The 21,162-nt window shown below is 39.0% G+C and overlaps 1 long non-coding RNA gene across 1 annotated transcript in view; it reads left to right on the top strand.

Annotated features, from left to right (window-relative positions):
* LOC124906307 (uncharacterized) overlaps positions 1-21,162 on the top strand; it is a 97,668-nt gene that overhangs the window by 64,515 nt on the left and 11,991 nt on the right. The window contains exon 1 of the long non-coding RNA XR_007096180.1: positions 16,894-19,831. This is a non-coding gene — a long non-coding RNA (uncharacterized LOC124906307). Of the gene's footprint in view, positions 19,832-21,162 lie in introns of the transcript that reaches the window.

The following is a 21,162-nucleotide window of genomic DNA, read 5'->3' as shown; positions in this document are numbered from 1 at the left end:
CAAATCTACGTCTGATTGGTGTACCTGAAAGTGATAGGGAGAATGGAACCAAGTTGGAAAACACTCTGCAGGATATTATCCAGGAGAACTTCCCCAATCTAGCAAGGCAGGCCAACATTCAGATTCAGGAAATACAGAGAATGCCACAAAGATACTCCTCGAGAAGAGCAACTCCGAGACACATAATTGTCAGATTCACCAAAGTTGAAACGAAGGAAAAAATGTTAAGGGCAGCCAGAGAGAAAGGTCGGGTTACCCACAAAGGGAAGCCCATCAGACTAACAGCGGATCTCTCGGCAGAAACTCTACAAGCCAGAAGAGAGTGGGGGCCAATATTCAACATTCTTAAAGACAAGAATTTTCAAACCAGAATTTCATATCCAGCCAAACTAAGCTTCATAAGCGAAGGAGAAATAAAATACTTTACAGACAAGCAAATGCTGAGAGATTTTGTCACCATCAGGCCTGCCCTAAAAGAGCTCCTGAAGGAAGTGCTAAACATGGAAAGGAACAACCGATACCAGCCACTGCAAAATCATGCCAAAATGTAAAGACCATTGAGACAGGAAGAAACTGCATCAACTAACGAGCAAAATCACCAGCTAACATCATAATGACAGGATCAAATTCACACATAACAATATTAACTTTAAATGTAAATGGACTAAATGCTCCAATTAAAAGACACAGACTGGCAAATTGGATAAAGAGTCAAGACCCATCAGTGTGCTGTATTCAGGAAACCCATCTCACGTGCAGAGACACACATAGGCTCACAATAAAAGGATGGAGGAAGATCTACCAAAAAAATGGAAAACAAAAAAAGGCAGGGATTGCAATCCTAGTCTCTGATAAAACAGACTTTAAACCAACAAAGATCAAAAGAGACAAAGAAGGCCATTACATAATGGTAAAGGGATCAATTCAACAAGAAGAGCTAACTATCCTAAATATATATGCACCCAATACAGGAGCACCCAGATTCATAAAGCAAGTCCTGAGTGACCTACAAAGAGACTTAGACTCCCACACATTAATAATGGGAGACTTTAACACCCCACTGTCAACATTAGACAGATCAACGAGGCAGAAAGTCAACAAGGATACCCAGGAATTGAACTCAGCTCTGCACCAAGCGGACCTAATAGACATCTACAGAACTCTCCACCCCAAATCAACAGAATATACATTTTTTTCAGCATCACACCACACCTATTCCAAAATTGACCATATAGTTGGAAGTAAAGCTCTCCTCAGCAAATGTAAAAGAACAGAAATTATAACAAACTCTCAGACCACAGTGCAATCAAACTAGAACTCAGGATTAAGAAACTCACTCAAAACCGCTCAACTACATGGAAACTGAACAACTTGCTCCTGAATGACTACTGGGTACATAACGCAATGAAGGCAGAAATAAAGATGTTCTTTGAAACCAACGAGAACAAAGACACAACATACCAGAATCTCTGGGACGCATTCAAAGCAATGTGTAGAGGGAAATTTATAGCACTAAATGCCCACAAGAGAAAGCAGGAAAGATCCAAAATTGACACCCTACCATCACAATTAAAAGAACTAGAAAAGCAAGAGCAAACACATTCAAAAGCTAGCAGAAGGCAAGAAATAACTAAAATCAGAGCAGAATTGATGGAAATAGAGACACAAAAAACCCTTCAAAAATTAGTGAATCCAGGAGCTGGTTTTTTGAAAGGATCAACAAAATTGATAGACCGCTAGCAAGACTAATAAAGAAAAAAAGAGAGAAGAATCAAATAGACACAATAAAAAATGATAAAGGGGATATCACCACTGATCCCACAGAAATACAAACTACCATCAGAAATTACTACGAACACCTCTACACAAATAAACTAGAAAATCTAGAAGAAATGGATAAATTCCTCGGGAGAGTAATAAATACACTCTCCCAAGACTAAACCAGGAAGAAGTTGAATCTCTGAATAGACCAATAACAGGATCTGAAATTGTGGCAATAATCAATAGCTTACCAACCAAAAAGAGTCCAGGACCAGATGGATTCACAGCCGAATTCTACCAGAGGTACAAGGAGGAACTGGTACCATTGCTTCTGAAACTATTCCAATCAATAGAAAAAGAGGGAATCCTCCCTAACTCATTTTTTGAGGCCAGCATCATCCTGATACCAAAGCTGGGCAGAGACACAACCAAAAAAGAGAATTTTAGACCAATATCCTTGATGAACATTGATGGAAAAATCCTCAATAAAATACTGGCAAACTGAATCCAGCAGCACATCAAAAAGCTTATCCACCATAATCAAGTGGGCTTCATCCCTGGGATGCAAGGCTGGTTCAATATACGCAAATCAATAAATGTAATCCAGGATATAAACAGAACCAAAGACAAAAACCACATGATTATCTTAATAGATGCAGAAAAGGCCTTTGACAAAATTCAACAACCCTTCATGCTAAAAACTCTCAATAAATTAGGTATTGATGGGACATATCTCAAAATAATAAGAGCTATCTATGACAAACCCACAGCCAATATCATACTGAATGGGCAAAAACTGGAAGCATTCCCTTTGAAAACTGGCACAAGACAGGGATGCCCTCTCTCACCACTCCTATTCAGTGTTGGAAGTTCTGGCCAGGGCAATTAGGCAGGAGAAGGAAATAAAGGGTATTCAATTAGGAAAAGAGGAAGTCAAATTGTCCCTGTTTGCAGACGACATAATTGTATATCTAGAAAACCCCATTGTCTCAGCCCAAAATCTCCTTAAGCTGATAAGCAACTTCAGCAAAGTCCCAGGATACAAAATCAATGTACAAAAATCACAAGCGTTCTTATACACCAACAACAGACAAACAGAGAGCCAAATCGTGAGTGAACTCCCATTCACAATTGCTTCAAAGAGAATAAAATACCTAGGAATCCACCTTACAAGGGATGTGAAGGACCTCTTCAAGGAGAACTACAAACCACTGCTCAAGGAAATAAAAGAGGATACAAACAAATGGAAGAACATTCCATGCTCATGGGTAGTAAGAATCAATATTGTGAAAATGGCCATACTGCCCAAGGTAATTTATAGATTCAATGCCATCCCCATCAAGCTACCAATGACTTTCTTCACAGAATTGGAAAAAACTACTTTAAAGTTCATATGGAACCAAAAAAGAGCCCGCATCGCCAAGTCAATCCTAAGCCAAAAGAACAAAGCTGGAGGCATCACACTACCTGACTTCAAACTATACTACAAGGCTACAGTAACCAAAACAGCATGGTACTGGTACCAAAACAGAGATATAGATCAGTGGAACAGAACAGAGCCCTCAGAAATAATGCCGTATATCTACAACTATCTGATCTTTGACAAACCTGAGAAAAACAAGCAATGGGGAAAGGATTCCCTATTTAATAAATGGTGCTGGGAAAACTGGCTAGCCATATGTAGAAAGCTGAAACTGGATCCCTTCCTTACACCTTATACAAAAATCAATTCAAGATGGATTAAAGACTTAAACGTTAGACCTAAAACCATAAAAACCCTAGAAGAAAACCTAGGCATTACTATTCAGGACATAGGCATGGGCAAGGACTTCATGTCTAAAACACCAAAAGCAATGGCAACAAAAGCCAAAATTGACAAATGGGATCTAATTAAACTAAAGAGCCTCTGCACAGCAAAAGAAACTACCATCAGAGTGAACAGGCAACCCACAAAATGGGAGAAAATTTTTGCAACCTACTCATCTTGACAAAGGGCTAATATCCAGAATCTACAATGGACTCAAACAAATTTACAAGAAAAAAACAACCCCATCAAAAAGTGGGCAAAGGATATGAACAGACACTTCTCAAAAGAAGACATTTATGCAGCCAAAGGACACATGAAAAAATGCTCATCATCACTGGCCATCAGAGAAATGCAAATCAGAACCACAATGAGATACCATCTCACACCAGTTAGAATGGCGATCATTAAAAAGTCAGGAAACAACAGGTGCTGGAGAGGATGTGGAGAAATAGGAACACTTTTACACTGTTGGTGGGACTGTAAAGTAGTTCAACCAATGTGGAAGTCAGTGTGGCGATTCCTCAGCGATCTAGAACTAGAAATACCATTTGACCCAGCCATCCTATTACTGGGTATATACCCAAAGGACTATAAATCATGCTGCTATAAAGACACATGCACATGTATGTTTATTGCGGCATTATTCACAATAGCAAAGGCTTGGAACCAACCCAAATGTCCAACAATGATAGACTGGATTAAGAAAATGTGGCACATATACACCATGGAATACTATGCAGCCATAAAAAATGATGAGTTCACGTCCTTTCTAGGGACACGGATGAAATTGGAAATCATCATTCTCAGTAAACTATCGCAAGAACAAAAAACCAAACACCGCATATTCTCACTCATAGGTGGGAATTGAACAATGAGAACACATGGACACAGGAAGGGGAACATCACACTCTGGGGACTGTTGTGGGGTGGGAGGAGGGGGGAGGGATAGCATTTGGAGATATACCTAATGCTAGATGATGAGTTAGTGGGTGCAGCGCACCAGCATGGCACATGTATACGTATGTAACTAACCGGCACATTGTGCACATGTACCCTAAAACTTAAAGTATAATAATAAAAAATTAAAAAAAAAAAAAAGAATGCCCACTCTCACGACTTCTTTTGAACATGGTACTGAAAGTCTTAGCTGGAACAATTAGGCATGAGAAGAAATAAAAGGCATCCTACTCATAGGTGGGAATTGAACAATGAGAACACATGGACACAGGAAGGGGAACATCACACTCTGGGGACTGTTGTGGGGTGGGGGGAGGGGAGAGGGATAGCTTTAGGAGATATACCTAATGCTAAATGATAAGTTAATGGGTGCAGCACACCAGTATGGCACATGTATACATATGTAACTAACCTGCACATTGTGCACATGTACCCTAAAACTTAAAGTATAATAATAATTTAAAAAAAAAGGCATCCTAATATGAAAAGAAGTGAAATTGCCTGTGTTTGCTGACAACATGATTTTATGTATAGAAAAACTCTTAAGACTCCACCAAAAAACTGTTAGAGCTGGTAAACAAAGTCAGTAAAGTTGCAGGGTACAAAATCAATGTATAAAAATTAGCACTTTCAATATGATAATAAAACCATCTGAAGATAAAATTAAAAAATAATCCAATTTACAATAGCAACAAAAATTAATTTGTTGTAAATTTAACCAAGGAAGTGAAAGATCTGTATACTAAAATCTACAAAACATCATTGAAAAAAATTGAAGAAAACACACAAAAATGGAAAGCTAGCCTGTGTTTATAGATTTTAAGAATTAATATTGTGAAAATGTCTGTATTGCCTAAGGCAATCAACATATTTAATTTAATCCCTACCAAAATTCCAATGTCATTCATCACAATAATACAAAAACAATCCTTAAACCAGTATGGAACCACAAAAGACCCCAAAGAGCCAAAATAATCTTGAGAAAAATGAACAAAGCTGGAGGCATCACCTTCCCCAATTTCAAAGCATGTTACAAAGCAATTGTAGTCAAAACATCAGGGTACTGGCATAAAAATGGACACATTGACAAATGAAACGGGTTAGAAAGCCCAGAGATAAACCTGCACATTTACAGTCAATTGATTTGTGACAAAGTTGTCAGGAACACACAGTGGGTGAAAGAACAGGCTCTGTGACAAATGATTCACGTTTATCACATATAAATGATAAATTGGATATCCACGTGCAGAAGAATGAAGATTGACCTTTGTCTCATACCATATACAAAAATAATCTCAAAATGGATTAAAGACTTATATATAGGATGTGAAATTGTAAAACAACAAGAAGAAAGCATAAGAGAAAAACTCCATGATGTTGATCTGGGCAACAATTGTTGCCCCCAAAACACTGGCAAAGAAACAAAGTTAGACAAGTGGGAAGACATCAAACTAAAAAGCTTCTGCGCAGCAAAGGAAACAACAAAATGGAGAGACAGTTTGTAGAATGGGAGAAAATATTTGCAAACCATATATCTGATAAGAAGTTAATATCCAAAATATATAAAGAACTCAAACAACTCAATAGCAAGAAGACAAACAACCTGATTTAAAAATGGGCAAAGAAATTGAGCAGACATTTCTGAAAAGAAGACATATAAGTGACCAACACATACATGGAAAAAAATGCTCAGCATCCCTAATCTTAGGGAATTGCAAATTAAAACCACAATGAGGTATCACCTCACATCTGTTAGAATGACTTTTATAAAATAGATGAAAGATAAGTATCGGTGAAGATGCAGACAAAAGGGGACTCTTGTACAATTGTTGGTAGGAATGTAAAGTAATGCAGCCATTATAGAAAATGGTATGGATGTTCCTCAAGAAACTAAAAATAGAACTACCTTATGATCTGGTAATCCCACTTGTGGGTATATATCCAAAGGAACCGAAATCAATATGTTGAAGGGTTATATGTACTCCTATGTTCGTTGTAGGAATAGTGACTGATATGGTTTGCCTGTGTCCCCACTCAAATCTCTTCTTGAATTGTAGCTCCCATAATTCCCATGTGTTGGGGGAGGGACCCGGTGGGAGATAATTGAATCATAGTAGGGGTTTCCTTCTTACTGTTCTCATGGTAGTGAATAAGTCTCACGAGATCTTATGGTTTTACAAGGGGCAACCCCTTTCACTTAATTCTCATCCTCTTTTGTCTTCTGCCTTTCGCCTTCCACCATGATTGTGAGGCCTCCCCAGCCACGTGGAACTGTGAGTCCATTAAACCTCTTTTTCTTTATAAATTACCCAGTCTCGGGTATGTCTTTATCAGCAGCATGAAAACAGACTAATACAGTCACAATAGCCAAGATATGGAATTAACCTAAGTGTCTATCAGTGGATGAACAAAGAAACTGTGTCATATGTAATGAAAAAGTGTTCAGCCTTAAAAGAAGGGGGAAATACTGTCATTTATGACAACATGGGTGAATCTGGAGGATATTATGCTAAGTGAAATAAGCCAGGCACAGAAAGACAAAAATGTCATGATCTCCCTTATATGTGGAATCTAAAAAAGTTGAATTCATAGAAGTAGAGAGTAGAATGATGGTTACCAGAAGCTAGGGTTTGGGGAGAAAAGAAAGTGAATGGGAGTTGCTGGTCAAATAGTACAAAGTTTCAGTGGGATAGTAGGAATACATTTTGAGACCCACTGCATAGCAAGAGAACTATAATAATGTACTATATATTTCAAAATAACAAAGAGTAAATTTCAAGTATCTCAATATAAAAGTAATATGTGGCTGGGTGCGGTGGCTCACGCCTGTAATCCCAGCACTTTGGCAGGCTGAAGCGGGTGAATCACTTGAGGTCAGGAGTTTGAGACCAGCTTGGCCAACATGGTAAAACCCCATTTCTACTAAAAATACAAAAATTAGCCGGTGTGGTGTTGCATGCCTGTAATCCCAGCACTCAATCCCAGCTTGAACCCAGGCGGCGGAGGTTGGAGTGTGAGCCCAGATTGCACCACTGCACTCCAATCTGAGTGACAGAGTGATACTGTCTCAAAAAAAAAAAAAGTAAGTTAGATGATGGACATGTTAATATGCTTGATTTGATCACTCCACATTGTATACATATATCAAAGCATCACATTGTACTCCATAAATTTATACAATTATAATTTGTCAACCAAAAATAATATTGATAATAATAAAAAAGGAAAAGAGAAAATTCTGGGAGGGTTGGAAAGTGATAGCTACTATACAGTTTAAACATTTTTCCCCCAAATAAAAATTATATTACTTTTATGATTGTAAATATAGTATGTGAATATTTAAAAACTGAAGCAGTGCAGAAAAGTATATGAAAGAAATATACCCCAAAACCTACAAAGGAAAGAGAACTGATGTTAACATTTTGGAGTATATCTTTTAAGCCTTCTCTACTCATAAACAAAACCAGACATACATAGTTTTTCTTTTTTTTTGCATGTGTACAGTATTTTTATTTTTAACTTTTATTTTAAATTTGGTGGTCCATGTGAATGTTTGTTACATAGATAAACACATGTCACGTGGGTTCGTTGTACATATTGTTTTAAGCCCAGTACCCAATAGTTATCTTTTCTGCCTCTCTCCTTCCTCTCACCCTCCCCCATCAAGTAGGCCCCTGTGTCCATTGTTTCCTTCCTTGTGTTTGTAGGTTCTCATCATTTACCTCCCACTTATAAGTGAGAACATTTGGTATTCAGTTTTCTGTTCCCTTGTTAGTTTGCTAAGGAGAATAGCCTCCAGCACCATCCATGTTCCTGCAGAAGACATGGTCTTGTTTTCTTTTTTCTATTTATTTATTTATTTATTTATTATTATTAATTTTTTTGGAGAGACAGGGTTTCACCATGTTGCCAAGGCTGGTCTCGAATTTCTGGGCTCAAGTGATCCACCTGCTTCGGCCTCCCAAAGTGCTGGGACTACAGGTGTGAGCCACTGCACCCAGCCTACTATGATCTCATTTGTTTTTAAGGCTGCATAGTATTCCATGGTATATATGTACCACATTTTCTTTATCCAATCTGTCATTGATGGGCATTTAGTTTGATTCCATGTCTTTGCCATTGTAAGTAGTGCTGCAATGAACATTCACATGCATGTGTCTTTATGGTAGCATGATTTATATTCATCTGGGTATATACCCAGCAATGGGATTGCTAGGTTGAATGGTAGTTCTGCTTTTAGCTCTTTGAGGAATCACCATACTGCTTTCCACAATAGTTGAATGAATGTACACTCTCACATACAGTCTATAAGTGTTCCCTTTTCTCCACAACCTCACCAGCATCTGTTATTTTTTGACTTTTTAATAATAATCATTGTGACTGGTGTGAGATGGTATCTCATTGTGGTTTTGATTTGCATTTCTCGAATGAGCAATGATTTTGAGCTTTCTTAAAAACATGCTTATTGGCTGCATGTAAGTCATCTTTTGAGAAGTGCCTGTTCATGTCTTTTGCCCACTTTTTAATGTTTTTTTCTCCTTGTAAATTTGTTTAAATTTATTTTAGATGTTGGATATTAGACCTTTGTCAGATGCATAGTTTGCAAAAATTTTCTCCCATTCTGTCTATTTACTCTGTTGACATTTTCTTTTGCTGTGCAGCTCTTAAGTTTAATTAGATCCCACTTGTCAATTTTTTTTTTTGCTTTTGTTGCAATTGCTTTTGGTGTCATTATCATGAAATCTTTGCCCATTCCTATGTCCAGGATGGTATTGCCTAGGTTGTCTTCCAGGGTTTTTATAGTTTTGGGTTTTAATAAGTATTTAATCCATCTTGAGTTAATTTTTGTGTATGGCATAAGGAGGGGTTCCAGCTTCAATCTTCTGTATATGGCTAGCCAGTTTTCCCAGGACCATTTATTGAATAGGGAGTCTTTTCCTCATTGCTTGTTTTTGTCAGCTTTATTGATGATCAGATGGTCGTAAATGTGAGTCCTTATTTCTGGGCTATTTTGTTCTATTGGTCTATGTGCCTGTTTTTGTACCAGTACCATGCTATTTTGGTTACTATAGCCCTGTAATATAGTTTGAAGTTGAGTAGCATGATGTCTCTAGCTTTGTTCTTTTTGCTTAGGATTGTATTGGCTATTCAGGCTTTTTTTTTTGGTTTTATATGAATTTTAAAATAGTTACTTCTAGTTCTGTGAAGAATGTTTTTGGTAGTTTGATAGGAATAGCATTGAATCTGTAAATTGCTTTGGAAAGTATAGCCATTTTAATGATGATTCTTCCTGTCCGTGAGCATGGAATGTTTTTCCATTTGTTTGTTCCTTCTCTGATTTCTTTGAGCAGTGTTTTATAATTTTCATTGTAGAGATCTTTCATCTCCCTGGTTAGCTGTATTCCTAGGTATTGCATTCTTTTTGTGGCAATTGTGAATGGGATTGCCTTTCTGATTTGGCTCTCAGATTGGCTGTTGTTGGTGCATAGGAATACTAGTGATTTTTTTTTGTACATTGATTTCATATCCTGCAACTTTTCTGAAGTTGTTTATCAGCTGGAAGAACTTTTGGGCAGAGACCATGGGGTTTTCTAGACCTAAGATCATGTCATCTGCAAACAGAGATAGTTTGACTTCCTCTCTTCCTATTTGGATGCCCTTTATTTCTTTCTCTTGCCTGATTGCTTTGGCCAGGACTTCCAATACTATGTTGAATAGAAGTGGTGAGAGAGGGCATCCTTGTCTTATGCCAGTTTTCCAGGGGAATGTTTCCAGTTTTGCCCATTCAGCAAGATGTTGGCTATGGGTTTGTATAGATGGCTCTTATTATTTTGAGGTATTTTCTTTCAATACCTAGTTTATTGGGCATTTTTAACATCAAGGGATTGAATTTGATTGAAACCCTTTCTTGCATCTATTGAGATAATTATGTGGTTTTTGTCTCTAGTTCTGTCTATGTGATTAATCGCATTTATTAATGTGTGTATGTTGAACCAACCTTGCATCTGGGGATGAAGCCTACTTGATCATAGCGGATTAGCTTTTTGATGTGCTGCTGAATTCAGTTTGCCAGTAATTTGTTGAGGATTTTTGTATCAATGTTCGACAGGGATATTGACCTGAAGTTTTCCTTTTTTCTTGTGTCTTTGTAAGGTTTTGTTATTTGGATGATGTTTGCCTCATAGAATGAGTTGAGGAGGAGTCCCTCCTCCTTAATTCTTTGGAATAATTTCTGTAAGAATGGTACCATCTCTTCTTTGTACATCTGGTAGAATGTGACTGTAAACCCATCAGGTCATGGGCTTTTTTTTGTTGGTAGGCTATTTATTACTGATTCAATTTTGGAGCTTGTTATTGGTTCTGTTCAGGGAATCCATTTCTTCCTGGCCCAGTCTTGGGAGGGTGTGTGTGTCCAGAAATTTGTCCATCTCTTCTAGGTCTTCTAGTTTGTGTGTGTAGAGGTGTTCGTAGCAGTTTCCAGTGGTTTGACATGGTTTGGCAGTGTCACCACCCAAAATCTCATCTTGAACCGTAATAATCCCCACATGTCAAGGGCAGGACCAGGTGGAGATAACTGAATCATGGGGCAGTCTCCCCCATACTGTTCTCGTGATAGTGAATAAGTTCTCATGATATATGATGGTTTTATAAGAGACTTCCCCTTTCACTTGGCTCTCATTGTCTCTCTTGCCACCATGTGAAAAAAGATGTGTTTGCTTCCCTTTTCACCATGACTTTAAGTTTCCTGAGGCCTCCCCAGCCATGTGGAACTGTGAGTCAATTAAATCTCTTTTCTTTATAAATTACCCACTCTCAGACAGTTCTTTATAGCAGCATGAAAACAGACTAATACATGGTTGTTTTTATTTCTGTGGGGTCAGTAGTAACATTCCCTTCATCATTTCTAATTGTGTTTATTGTGTTTGTTTGGATCTTTTCTCTTTTCTTTTTTATTGATCTAGCTAGTGGCCTATCTACTTTATTAATTTTTTCAAAAAACCAACTCCTGGATTTATTGATCTTTTGAATGTTATTTTATGTCTCAGTTTCTTTCAGTTGAGCTCTGATTTTTGTTATTTCGTATCTTCTGCTAGCTTTGGGGTTGATTTGTTTTCGCTTCTCTAATTCTTTCAGTTGGGAAGTTAGGTTGTTAATTTGAGATCTCTCTAACTTTTTGATGTGGGTATTTAGTGCTATAAATTTCCCTCTAAACACTGTCTTAGCTGTGTCCCAGAGATTCTGGTATGTGTGTCTTTGTTCTCATTAGTTTCAAAGAACTTCTTGATTTCTGCATTAATTTCATTATTTACCCAAAAGTCATTCAGGAACGTCATGTTTAATTTCCAGGTAATTGCATGGCTTTAAGCTATTTTCATAGTCTTTCCTTCTTTTGACTATTTTTATTGCACTGTGGTCTGAGAGTGTGTTTAGTATGATTTTTGTCCTTTTACATTTGTTGAGGATTTTTTTATATCCAATTATGTGGTCAATTTTAGAGTATGTGCCATATGGCAATGAGAATAATGTATATTCTGTTGGGTGGAGAGTTCTGTATAGGTCTCTCAGATCCATTTGGTCCAATGTTGAATTTTGGTTCTGAATATCTTTGTTAATTTTCTACCTTAATGATTAGTCTAATACTCTCAGTAGAGTATTAAAGTCTCCTGCCATTATTGCGTGGGAGTCTGTGTCTCTTTGTAGGTCTCTAAGAACTTGCTTTATGAATCTGGATGTTCCTGTGTTAGGTGCATATATATTTAGCATAGTTAGGTCTACTTGTTGAATTGAACCCTTCACCATTATGTAATGGCCTTCTCATATTTTCTGATCTTAGTTTGGAATCTGTTTTGTTTGAAATTAGGATTTCAACCCATTAGTATGCTTTCACACTGCTATAAAGAACTTCCCTAAAACTGGGTAGATTATAGAGGAAAGAGGTTTAATTGAATCACAGTTCCACATGGCTGGGGAGTCATCAGGAAACTTACAATCATGGTGGAAGTGGAAGCAGGCACCTTCTTCACAAGGTGGCAGGAGAGAAAGAGAGTGAGTGTGTGAAGGAGGAACTGTCAAACACTTATAAAACCATCAGATCTCATGAGAACTTACTCACTATCAGCATGGGGGAAACTGACCCCATGATCCAATCAGCTCCCACCAGGTACCTCCCTAGACACATGGGGATTATTGGGGATTACATTTTGAGATGAGATTTGGGTGTGGACACAGAGCCAAACCATATCACCTGCTTTTTTTCTGTTTTCCATTTGCTTGGTAGATTTTCCTCTATCCCTTTATTCTGAGCCTATGAGTGTAATTACATGTGAGATGAGTCTCTTGAAGACAGCATACCATTGGGTCTTGCTTTTTTATCCATCTTGTTACTCTGTGCCATTTAAGTGGGGCATTTAGTATTGATATGTGTGGATTTGATCCTGTCATTGTGCTGTTAGCTGGTTATTATGCTGGCTTACTTGTGTGGTTGCTTTAAAGTGACACTAATCTGTGTGTTTAAGTGTGTTTTTGTGTTAGCTTTCCTTTCCTTTCCATATTTTGTTTCCTTTCCATATTTTGTACTCCTTTCAAGATTTCTTGTAAGGCAAGTCTTGTGGTAATAAATTCCCTCAACATTTGCTTATCTGAAAGGGGTCTTATTTCTCCTTCATTTAGGGAAGCTTGGTTTGGCTGGATATAATATTCTTGATTGGAGATTTTTCTCTTAAGGAACATTGATTATAGGCCCCCAATCTCTTCTGGCTTGTAGGATTTCAGCTGAGAGGTCTGCTGTTAGCCTGATGGGGTTCTCTTTACAGGTGACCTGCCCTTTCTCTCTAGCTTCCTTTAACATTTTTTCTTTCATTTTGACCTTGGAAAATATGAAGATCATTTGTCTTGGGGATGATCTTCTTGTATAGAATCTTGCAGAAGTTCTTCATATTTCTTGAATTTGACTGTTGGCCTCTCCAGCAAGGTTGGAGAAGTTTTCACTAATGATATTCTGAAATATGTTTTCTTTTTTTTTTTGTTTGTTTGTTTTATTATACTTTAACTTCTAGGGTACATGTGCACAATGTGCAGGTTTGTTACATGTGTATACATGTACCATGTTGGTGTGCTGCACCCATTAACTTGTCATTTACATTAGGTATATCTCCTAATGCTATCCCTCCTCATTCCCCCCACCCCATGACAGGCCCTGGTGTGTGATGTTCCCCTTCCTATGTCCAAGTGTTCTCATTATTCAAGTCCCACCTACGAGTGAGAACATGCGGTGTTTGGTTTTTTGTCCTTGCAGTAGTTTGCTGAGAATGATGGTTTCCAGCTTCATCCATGTCCTTACAAAGGACATGAACTCATCCTTTTTTATGGCTGCATAGTATTCCATGGTGTATATGTGCCACATTTTCTTAATCCAGTCTATCACTGATGGACATTTGGGTTGGTTACAAGACTTTGCTAATGTGAATAGTGCCTCAATAAACATAGATGTGCATGTGTCTTTATAGCAGCATGATTTGTGATACTTTGGGTATATACCCAGTAATGGGATGGCTGGGTCAAATAGTATTTCTAGTTCTAGATCCTTGAGGAATCACCACACTGTCTTCCACAATGGTTGAACTAGTTTACAGTCCCACCAACATTGTAAAACTGTTCCTATTTCTCCACATCCTCTCCAGCATCTGTTGTTTCCTGACTTTTTAATGATCGCCATTCTAACTGGTGTGAGATGGTATCTCATTGTGGTTTTGATTTGCATTTCTCTGATGGCCAGTGATGATGAGCATTTTTTCATGTGTCTGTTGGCTGCATAAATGTCTTCTTTTAAGAAATGTCTGTTCATATCCTTCACCCACTTTTTGACAGGGTTGTTTGTTTTTTTCTTGTAAATTTGTTTGGGTTCTTTGTAGATTCTGGATATTAGCCCTTTGTCAGATGAGTGATTGCAAAAATTTTCTCCCATTTTGTAGGTTGCCTGTTCACTCTGATGGTAGTTTCTTTTGCTGTGCAGAAGCTCTTTAGTTTAATTAGATCCCATTTGTCAATTTTGGCTTTTGTTGCTATTGCTTTTGGTGTTTTAGACATGAAGTCCTTGCCCATGCCTATGTCCTGAATGGTATTGCCTAGGTTTTCTTCTAGAGTTTGTATGGTTTTAGGTCTAACATTTAAGTCTTTAATCCATCTTGAATTGATTTTTGTATCAGGTGTAAGGAAGGGATCCAGTTTCAGTTTTCTACGTATGGCTAGCCAGTTTTCCCAGCACCATTTATTAAATAGGGAATCCTTTCCCCATTTCTTGTTTTTGTCACGTTTGTCAAAGATCAGATGGTTGTTGATGTGTGGTATTATTTCTGAGTGCTCTGTTCTGTTCCATTGGTCTATATCTCTGTTTTGGTACTGTTACCATGCTGTCCTGTAGTATAGTTTGAAGTCAGGTAGCATGATGCCTCCAGCTTTGTTCTTTTGGCTTAGGATTAACTTGGCAATGCAGGCTCTTTTTTGGTTCCATATGAACTTTAAAGTAGTTTTCTCCAAATTTTGTGGAGAAAGTCATTGGTAGCTTGATGGGGATGGCATTGAATCTATAAATTACCTTGGGCAGTATGGCCATTTTCACGATACTGATTCTTCCTATCCATGAGCATGGAATGTTCTTCCATTTGTTTGTGTCCTCTTTTAGTTCGTTGGGCAGTGGTTTGTAGTTCTCCTTGAAGAGGTCTTTCACATCCCTTGTAAATTGGATTCCTAGGTATTTTATTCTCTTTGAAGCAATGGTGAATGGGACTTCACTCATGATTTGGCTCTCTGTTTCTCTGTTATTGGTGTATAAGAACGCCTGTGATTTTTGCACATTGATTTTGTATCCTGAGACTTTGCTGAAGTTGCCTATCAGCTTAAGGAGATTTTGGGCTGAGATGATGGGATTTCCTAGATATACAATCAAGTCATCTGCAAACAAGGACAATTGACTTCCTCTTTTCCTCATTGAATACCCTTTATATCTTTCTGCTGCCTGGTTGCCCAGGCCAGAACTTCCAACACTATGTTGAATAAGAATGGTGAGAGAGGGCATCCCTGTCTTGAGCCAGTTTTCAAAGGGAATGCTTCCAGTTTTTGCTCATTCAGTATGATACTGGCTATGGGTTTGTCATAAATAGCTCTTATTATTTTGAGATATGTCCCATCAATCCCTAATTTACTGAGAGTTTTTAGCATGAAGGGTTGTTGAATTTTGTCAAAGGCCTTTTCTGCATCTATTGAGATAATCATGTGGTTTTTGTCTTTGGTTCTGTTTATATGCTGGATTACGTTTATTGATTTGCGTGTGTTGAACCAGCCTTGCATTTTTTCTAAGTTGTTTGATTTCTTACCCTCCATTTCAGGGATGCCAATGTTCATAGATTTGGCCTCTTTACATATCCCATGCTTCTAGAAGGTTTTGTTCATTGGTTTTTATTACTTTTTCTTTATTTTTGTCTGATTGTCTCATTTCAGGGAACCAGTCTTCAAGTTCTGAGATTCTTTCCTCAGCTTGGTTTATTCTGCTGTTAATACTTGTGATTGCATTGTGAAATCCTTGTATTGTGTTATTCTGCTCTTTCAGACCTGTTAGCTTCTTTTTTTATACTGGCTGTTTTATCCTTCAGCTCCTGTATCACTTTATTGTGATTCTTCTTTTCCTTAGATTGAGTTTTGCCATCCCACTGAATCTTGTTGACCTTCGTTCCTATCCATATTCTGAAATCTCTGTATGTCATTCCAACCTTAGCCTGGTTAAGAACACTTGCTGGAGAGCTGGTGTGGTCATTTGGAGGACATATGACACTCTGGCCATTTGAGTTACTGGAATTCTTGCATTGGTTCTTTCTCATATCTGTGTGTGGGTGTTCCTTTACCTGCAGTGTAGATTGAATACAGTCAGTAGACTTCTTTTCTGCTTGTTTCCACTGGGCCTAGGCTTTGTGCACGGTCTTTATTTGAAGGTGCTTTCTTGTCTCTGGTTTCAGAGAGGGGGTATATTAGTGAGATATTTGTGGTTTTGAAGCTTTGGGGTGTGATCCAGCAGGTAGTACTCAGGCTTCTTTGTCAGTTGGTAAACTCTTGCTTGGTTGTGTGGCTTCCCTATGTTTCCACATAGTTGCAGCCATGTTCCCTCTCAATACTCTGAAAGCATGGGTTCCTTTCCCCCTTGAGTGCTGGCTGTAGATCATGACTTGGCACTCCTGGCTGCCCACTGCAGCTCTGGGGTGATCTCAGTGTTTATTTTCTTTCTCTGACTAGGAGGCAGCAGAGGAAGGGATCTTAGTAGTGGTGTGGTCTAGGTTCATTTGTATATCTCCTAGGGGCTCCACTCCAGAAAGATGAAGGTCAGCAATTGCTCAGTGCAATCAGCTCAGGATGCAGTGTCTGTCCTGTGGACCTAAGCCAGGGATTCCCTGTCTGGTGATGAGCAGTGGTGGTATGTGGGACCCATGGGAGATGGACTGGTCTCTCCTTGGGTTGACTGCAGCGTTTTGGAGGTGTGGATAAGGCACTTAGGGTCTTTGCTCCTTTGTTAGTCCAAAGGTGGCATATGGGAATGGGCATTCACCTAACAGTCTGGGCACTTTTCCATAGGGCTGCTGTGGTATGCTTGGGGCCCACTCGAGTTGCTAGTCACCTTGAATTTTCCAGTACCCAGAGGTATAACCAGTGAAGGTTTTGAAACAGCAAAGATGGCAGCCTGTCCCTCCCTCTGGGAGCTTTGTTCCAGAGAGGTACAAGCTTGTTGCTGGAAGGGCTAAATTGCCCAAACAGCAAAGATGGTGGCCTGCCCCTCCCTCTGGGGGATCAATCCCAGGGAGGTTACAAATCTTTGTCAGCAGGAGAACACTGACCAGGGGGGGGATGGAGGCCCCAGTTGGGAGGTCCCACCCAGTAAGGAGGAGTGGAATCAGAGGCCTACTTAATGAAGCAGTCTGGCCACATTTTGGTAGAGCAGCTGTGCTGTGCTGGGGGATCTCTTCTGGCCCCAGTTGGCTAGGACTCTCCAAAGCCCAAAGCCTGGATCAGCTAAGTTACCCAAACAGCAAAGATGGTGTCCTGCCCCTCCCTTTGGGGGTGCAGTCTCAGGGAGAATTTAAATCTCTGTTGGCTGGAGAGTACAAGTGGGATGGCTGGAGGCCCCATTTGGGAGGTCCTGCCCAGTGAGGAGAAATGGGATTGGGCACCTGCTTAAAGCAGCAGTCTAGCCATGTTTTGATAGAGCAGCTGTGCTGTGCTGGGGGATACTTTCCACTCTGGTCAGCTCAGGCTCTCTGAAGCCTGAAGGCTGGAATGGCTAAGGCACCCAAACAGCAAAGATAGTGGCCTGCCCCTCCCCTGGGAGCTCCTTTTTAGGGAGGTGCAATCCTGCTACTGGTGGCTGGCTGGAATTCCAAGCCAGTGGGTCTTATCTTATGAAGTGCCATGGAAGTCTGACCTGCAGCTTGTCACTGCTCAGCCCCCTGGATTCAGCCTCTTTCTTAGGGGTATTTACAGGGGTCTAGCCTCCCACATTGCTGGAGCTTCAGCTACTTTTGCCAGATAGCCCAAATATCTAAGGCTCTAGGGTCTCCATGTGTGCCTGGATGGCTGCTTTGCTGAGACTCCACATATCTATCTGACTGAAGGTCCTGGTGGAGTAGGTGCACAAGGTCTCTTGACCCAAGGGTTTCAAAGATCTGTGGAAGAAGCATGGTTTCCCTGGGTCCAATATTTACTCACTACTTCCCCGGGTCAGGGAGTTTCCCTTGGCTCTGTATTGCTCCCGGAGGTGCTGTTGTCCTGTCTTGCTTTTCTTCATTCTCCATGGGTCAAGTTGTTTTCTTGATTAGTCCCAATACAAGTACCTGGATGTTTCAGTTGAAGGTATTGTATTTACTCACCCCTTCCATTCCTCTCCATGAGAGCTGCATCTAGTTGGCCATCTTGGCCACTCCTTCCCAGTTTTTTATAAATAGGATTACACTACAGATATTTTTATAATGCACATTTTTACTCATAAACCTGGCATGGGTGTGTTTGCATGTCAATAAATCTAGAGCTACCAAATCATTTTTATGAACCATAAAATATTTTTTAAGGTAAATACCATAACTAATATGTCCAGTCTTTTGTTAATGAACATTTCAATTGCTTCCAGTTTTTCACTATTATAAATTATGCTGCCATGAACTTATATGTACATATGTTTGAATTTTGCATGAGTAGTGTAAATTCAGGGAGAAATTGCTGGGAGGAAGGTAAGCACATTTATTATTTCCAAGTTTAATATTACCAGAAGGAGAGTGTATCTTTTCTTTTGTATAATGCATGGGAAAGACAATGGAGAGGAGGATGCCTAAATGTAAATGAATTGAGAGAAAGAAGTTCACGCTTTGTTCCACCAAGAGTAGGTAGAAACTTCCTAGAATAGATGATAGAATCTGTTCTGCATCTGTAAGCCATTCTGTGGGTCTTTAAAATCTTTCTTTGTTATGGAATCTTGTATTCCAGTGTATGACAATCTTCAGCATAGCAGAAAATTTATTAAAGTTTTATCAAAAGTGTAAATTTGGTGTGGGTAGCAAGAAGAAGGATTTTGTTGGAGTAGAATAATGCCACAGCCTATGTGCATTTCATCCACTTCTCCTCTTGCTCCAAGCCAACCTGTGGACTCCCTCATGATACCAGTTCTGTTGTGGTGTCTTGTAAAGTTACTCATGATCTCCTCCTGGTATTCATGTGGCTCCTTCACAAATATTTTATTCCCACATCCCTGTTGAAGAAAATGATAGCGTTTGATATATTTATTTCCTCATCTCTTTTTCTCTGCCTTACATTAGATAAGTACTCTGAAAAGACAAGTTGGAAGAAGTTAGAGTTTTAGGGTTGAGGACACAGGTTTTGGGGTCTGTGTTAGGGTAATGCAAGAATATGCTGTGGCGGCAACAAAAACAACAACAACAACAACAAGAACAGCAACAAAACCAGAAAATCTCTGGAGTGTTAGGGGATTAACATAACAAAGGTTTGTTTCTTGCTTTCAGAAAGTCTAATGCACATCTCGTGATTCCTCACAGTAACCCTCTTCCACATGGTGTCTCATGGATTCAGGCTCTGTATTTGAAGACTGTACCATCTCAACTCATGGCTTTGAGAGTTACTGCTTTTAAATGCCTCAGCTCAGAAAAGGCACACACATCATTGTAATTTGCTCCTTGTTTTGCTCTCACCTACTGGGCACATGACCTCAGTCTAAGTGCATGGAGGCTGGAAGATGCAGGGTAGCACACAGAATATTTGGTGAGTACCACAGTCTGAGGCGGTCAGACCTGGTATCAATTCAAAATTTTGCATCTTATGAGTGTGTCAACTTGAAAAGTTTGTTAATGTTTCTGTGCCTTGATTTCTTCATTTGTAAAATAGGGATTTGAATACAGATGCTTCCACAATGGGCTTATCGAGACATAGCCCCATGGTGGTAAATTGAGTAGTGTACTCAATGCATATAGGTTTTACACCACCATAAAGTTGAAAAATTGTGAAGTCAGAGCATTGCAAGTTAAATCTCTGGAGAAAAAAGCAACCTTGCAGAGACTGGGGCATCAGGGGAAGACCATTAGTATTGAGTAAATTTCAGTGTGTTTTGACCTGAAATGAAAAACAAGGTATGAACAAATGACAAGTAAGCTGATATTAGTTATGAGTCAGTAGTCTTTGTTTTGTAAACAAAAGACTTCAGTCCTGGTTTTATTATTTTGGGGGTGTGCTATTCAGCTAGGTTTATCTGAGTTAGGACCATCTTAATGTTTGACCTTCGCAATCTAACGTTAGGGAGTAAAACAGCCCAACTTGTGGAACCCAGCTCTATGAGAAGAAGTTTGAAGCACATCCACAACTAAATTTATTTATACCTTTTCAAACAAAGAGAACTTGTTTGAGCTCAGCTATAGAAACACAAATTGAATAAGAATTTTTAAAAATTAAAATTAAAATTTTAGATTCAGGGGACACATGGGAAGGATTGTTACATGAATATGTTGCATAATGATGAGGTTTGGGCTTCCAGTGAACCCATTACTCAAATAGTAAACATTGTACCCAATAGGGAATTTTTAACCCTCACCCCCCTTGCCACTCTCCCCTCTTTGGAGTTCCCAGTATTTATTATTTCCACCTTTATGTCCATATGTACCCATTGTTTAGCCCCCACTTATAAATGAGAACATGTGGTAGGTGGTTTTCTGTTTTTGAGTTATTTTTGTTAGAAAAATGCCTTGTGCTCCACCCATTTTGCTGCAAAGAACATGATTTCATTTTTTAAATGGCTGTATAGTGTTTCATGATGTACATACACCGTACTTTCTTTATCTAATCAACTGTTGATGGACACTTGGGTTTATTCCGTAACTTGCTTATTGTGGATAGTGCTGAGATAAACATACAAGTGCAGGTGTCTTTTTTGTATAATGATTTTTTTTCCTTTGGGTAGGTGCCCAGTAGGGGATTGCTGGGTCAAATAGTAGTTCTATTTATTAGTTCTTTCAGAAATCTGCATACTATTTTTAATAGCGGTTGTGCTAATTTACATTCCCACCAACAATGTGTAAGCGTTCCCTTTTCTCTGCATCCTT

This window comes from Homo sapiens, chromosome 3 (genome assembly GCF_000001405.40).
Source record: "Homo sapiens chromosome 3, GRCh38.p14 Primary Assembly".
Taxonomy (NCBI): Eukaryota; Metazoa; Chordata; class Mammalia; order Primates; family Hominidae; genus Homo; species Homo sapiens.
Note: the sequence above shows the minus strand (reverse complement) of the source record. Positions and strands in the feature narration are given on the sequence as shown.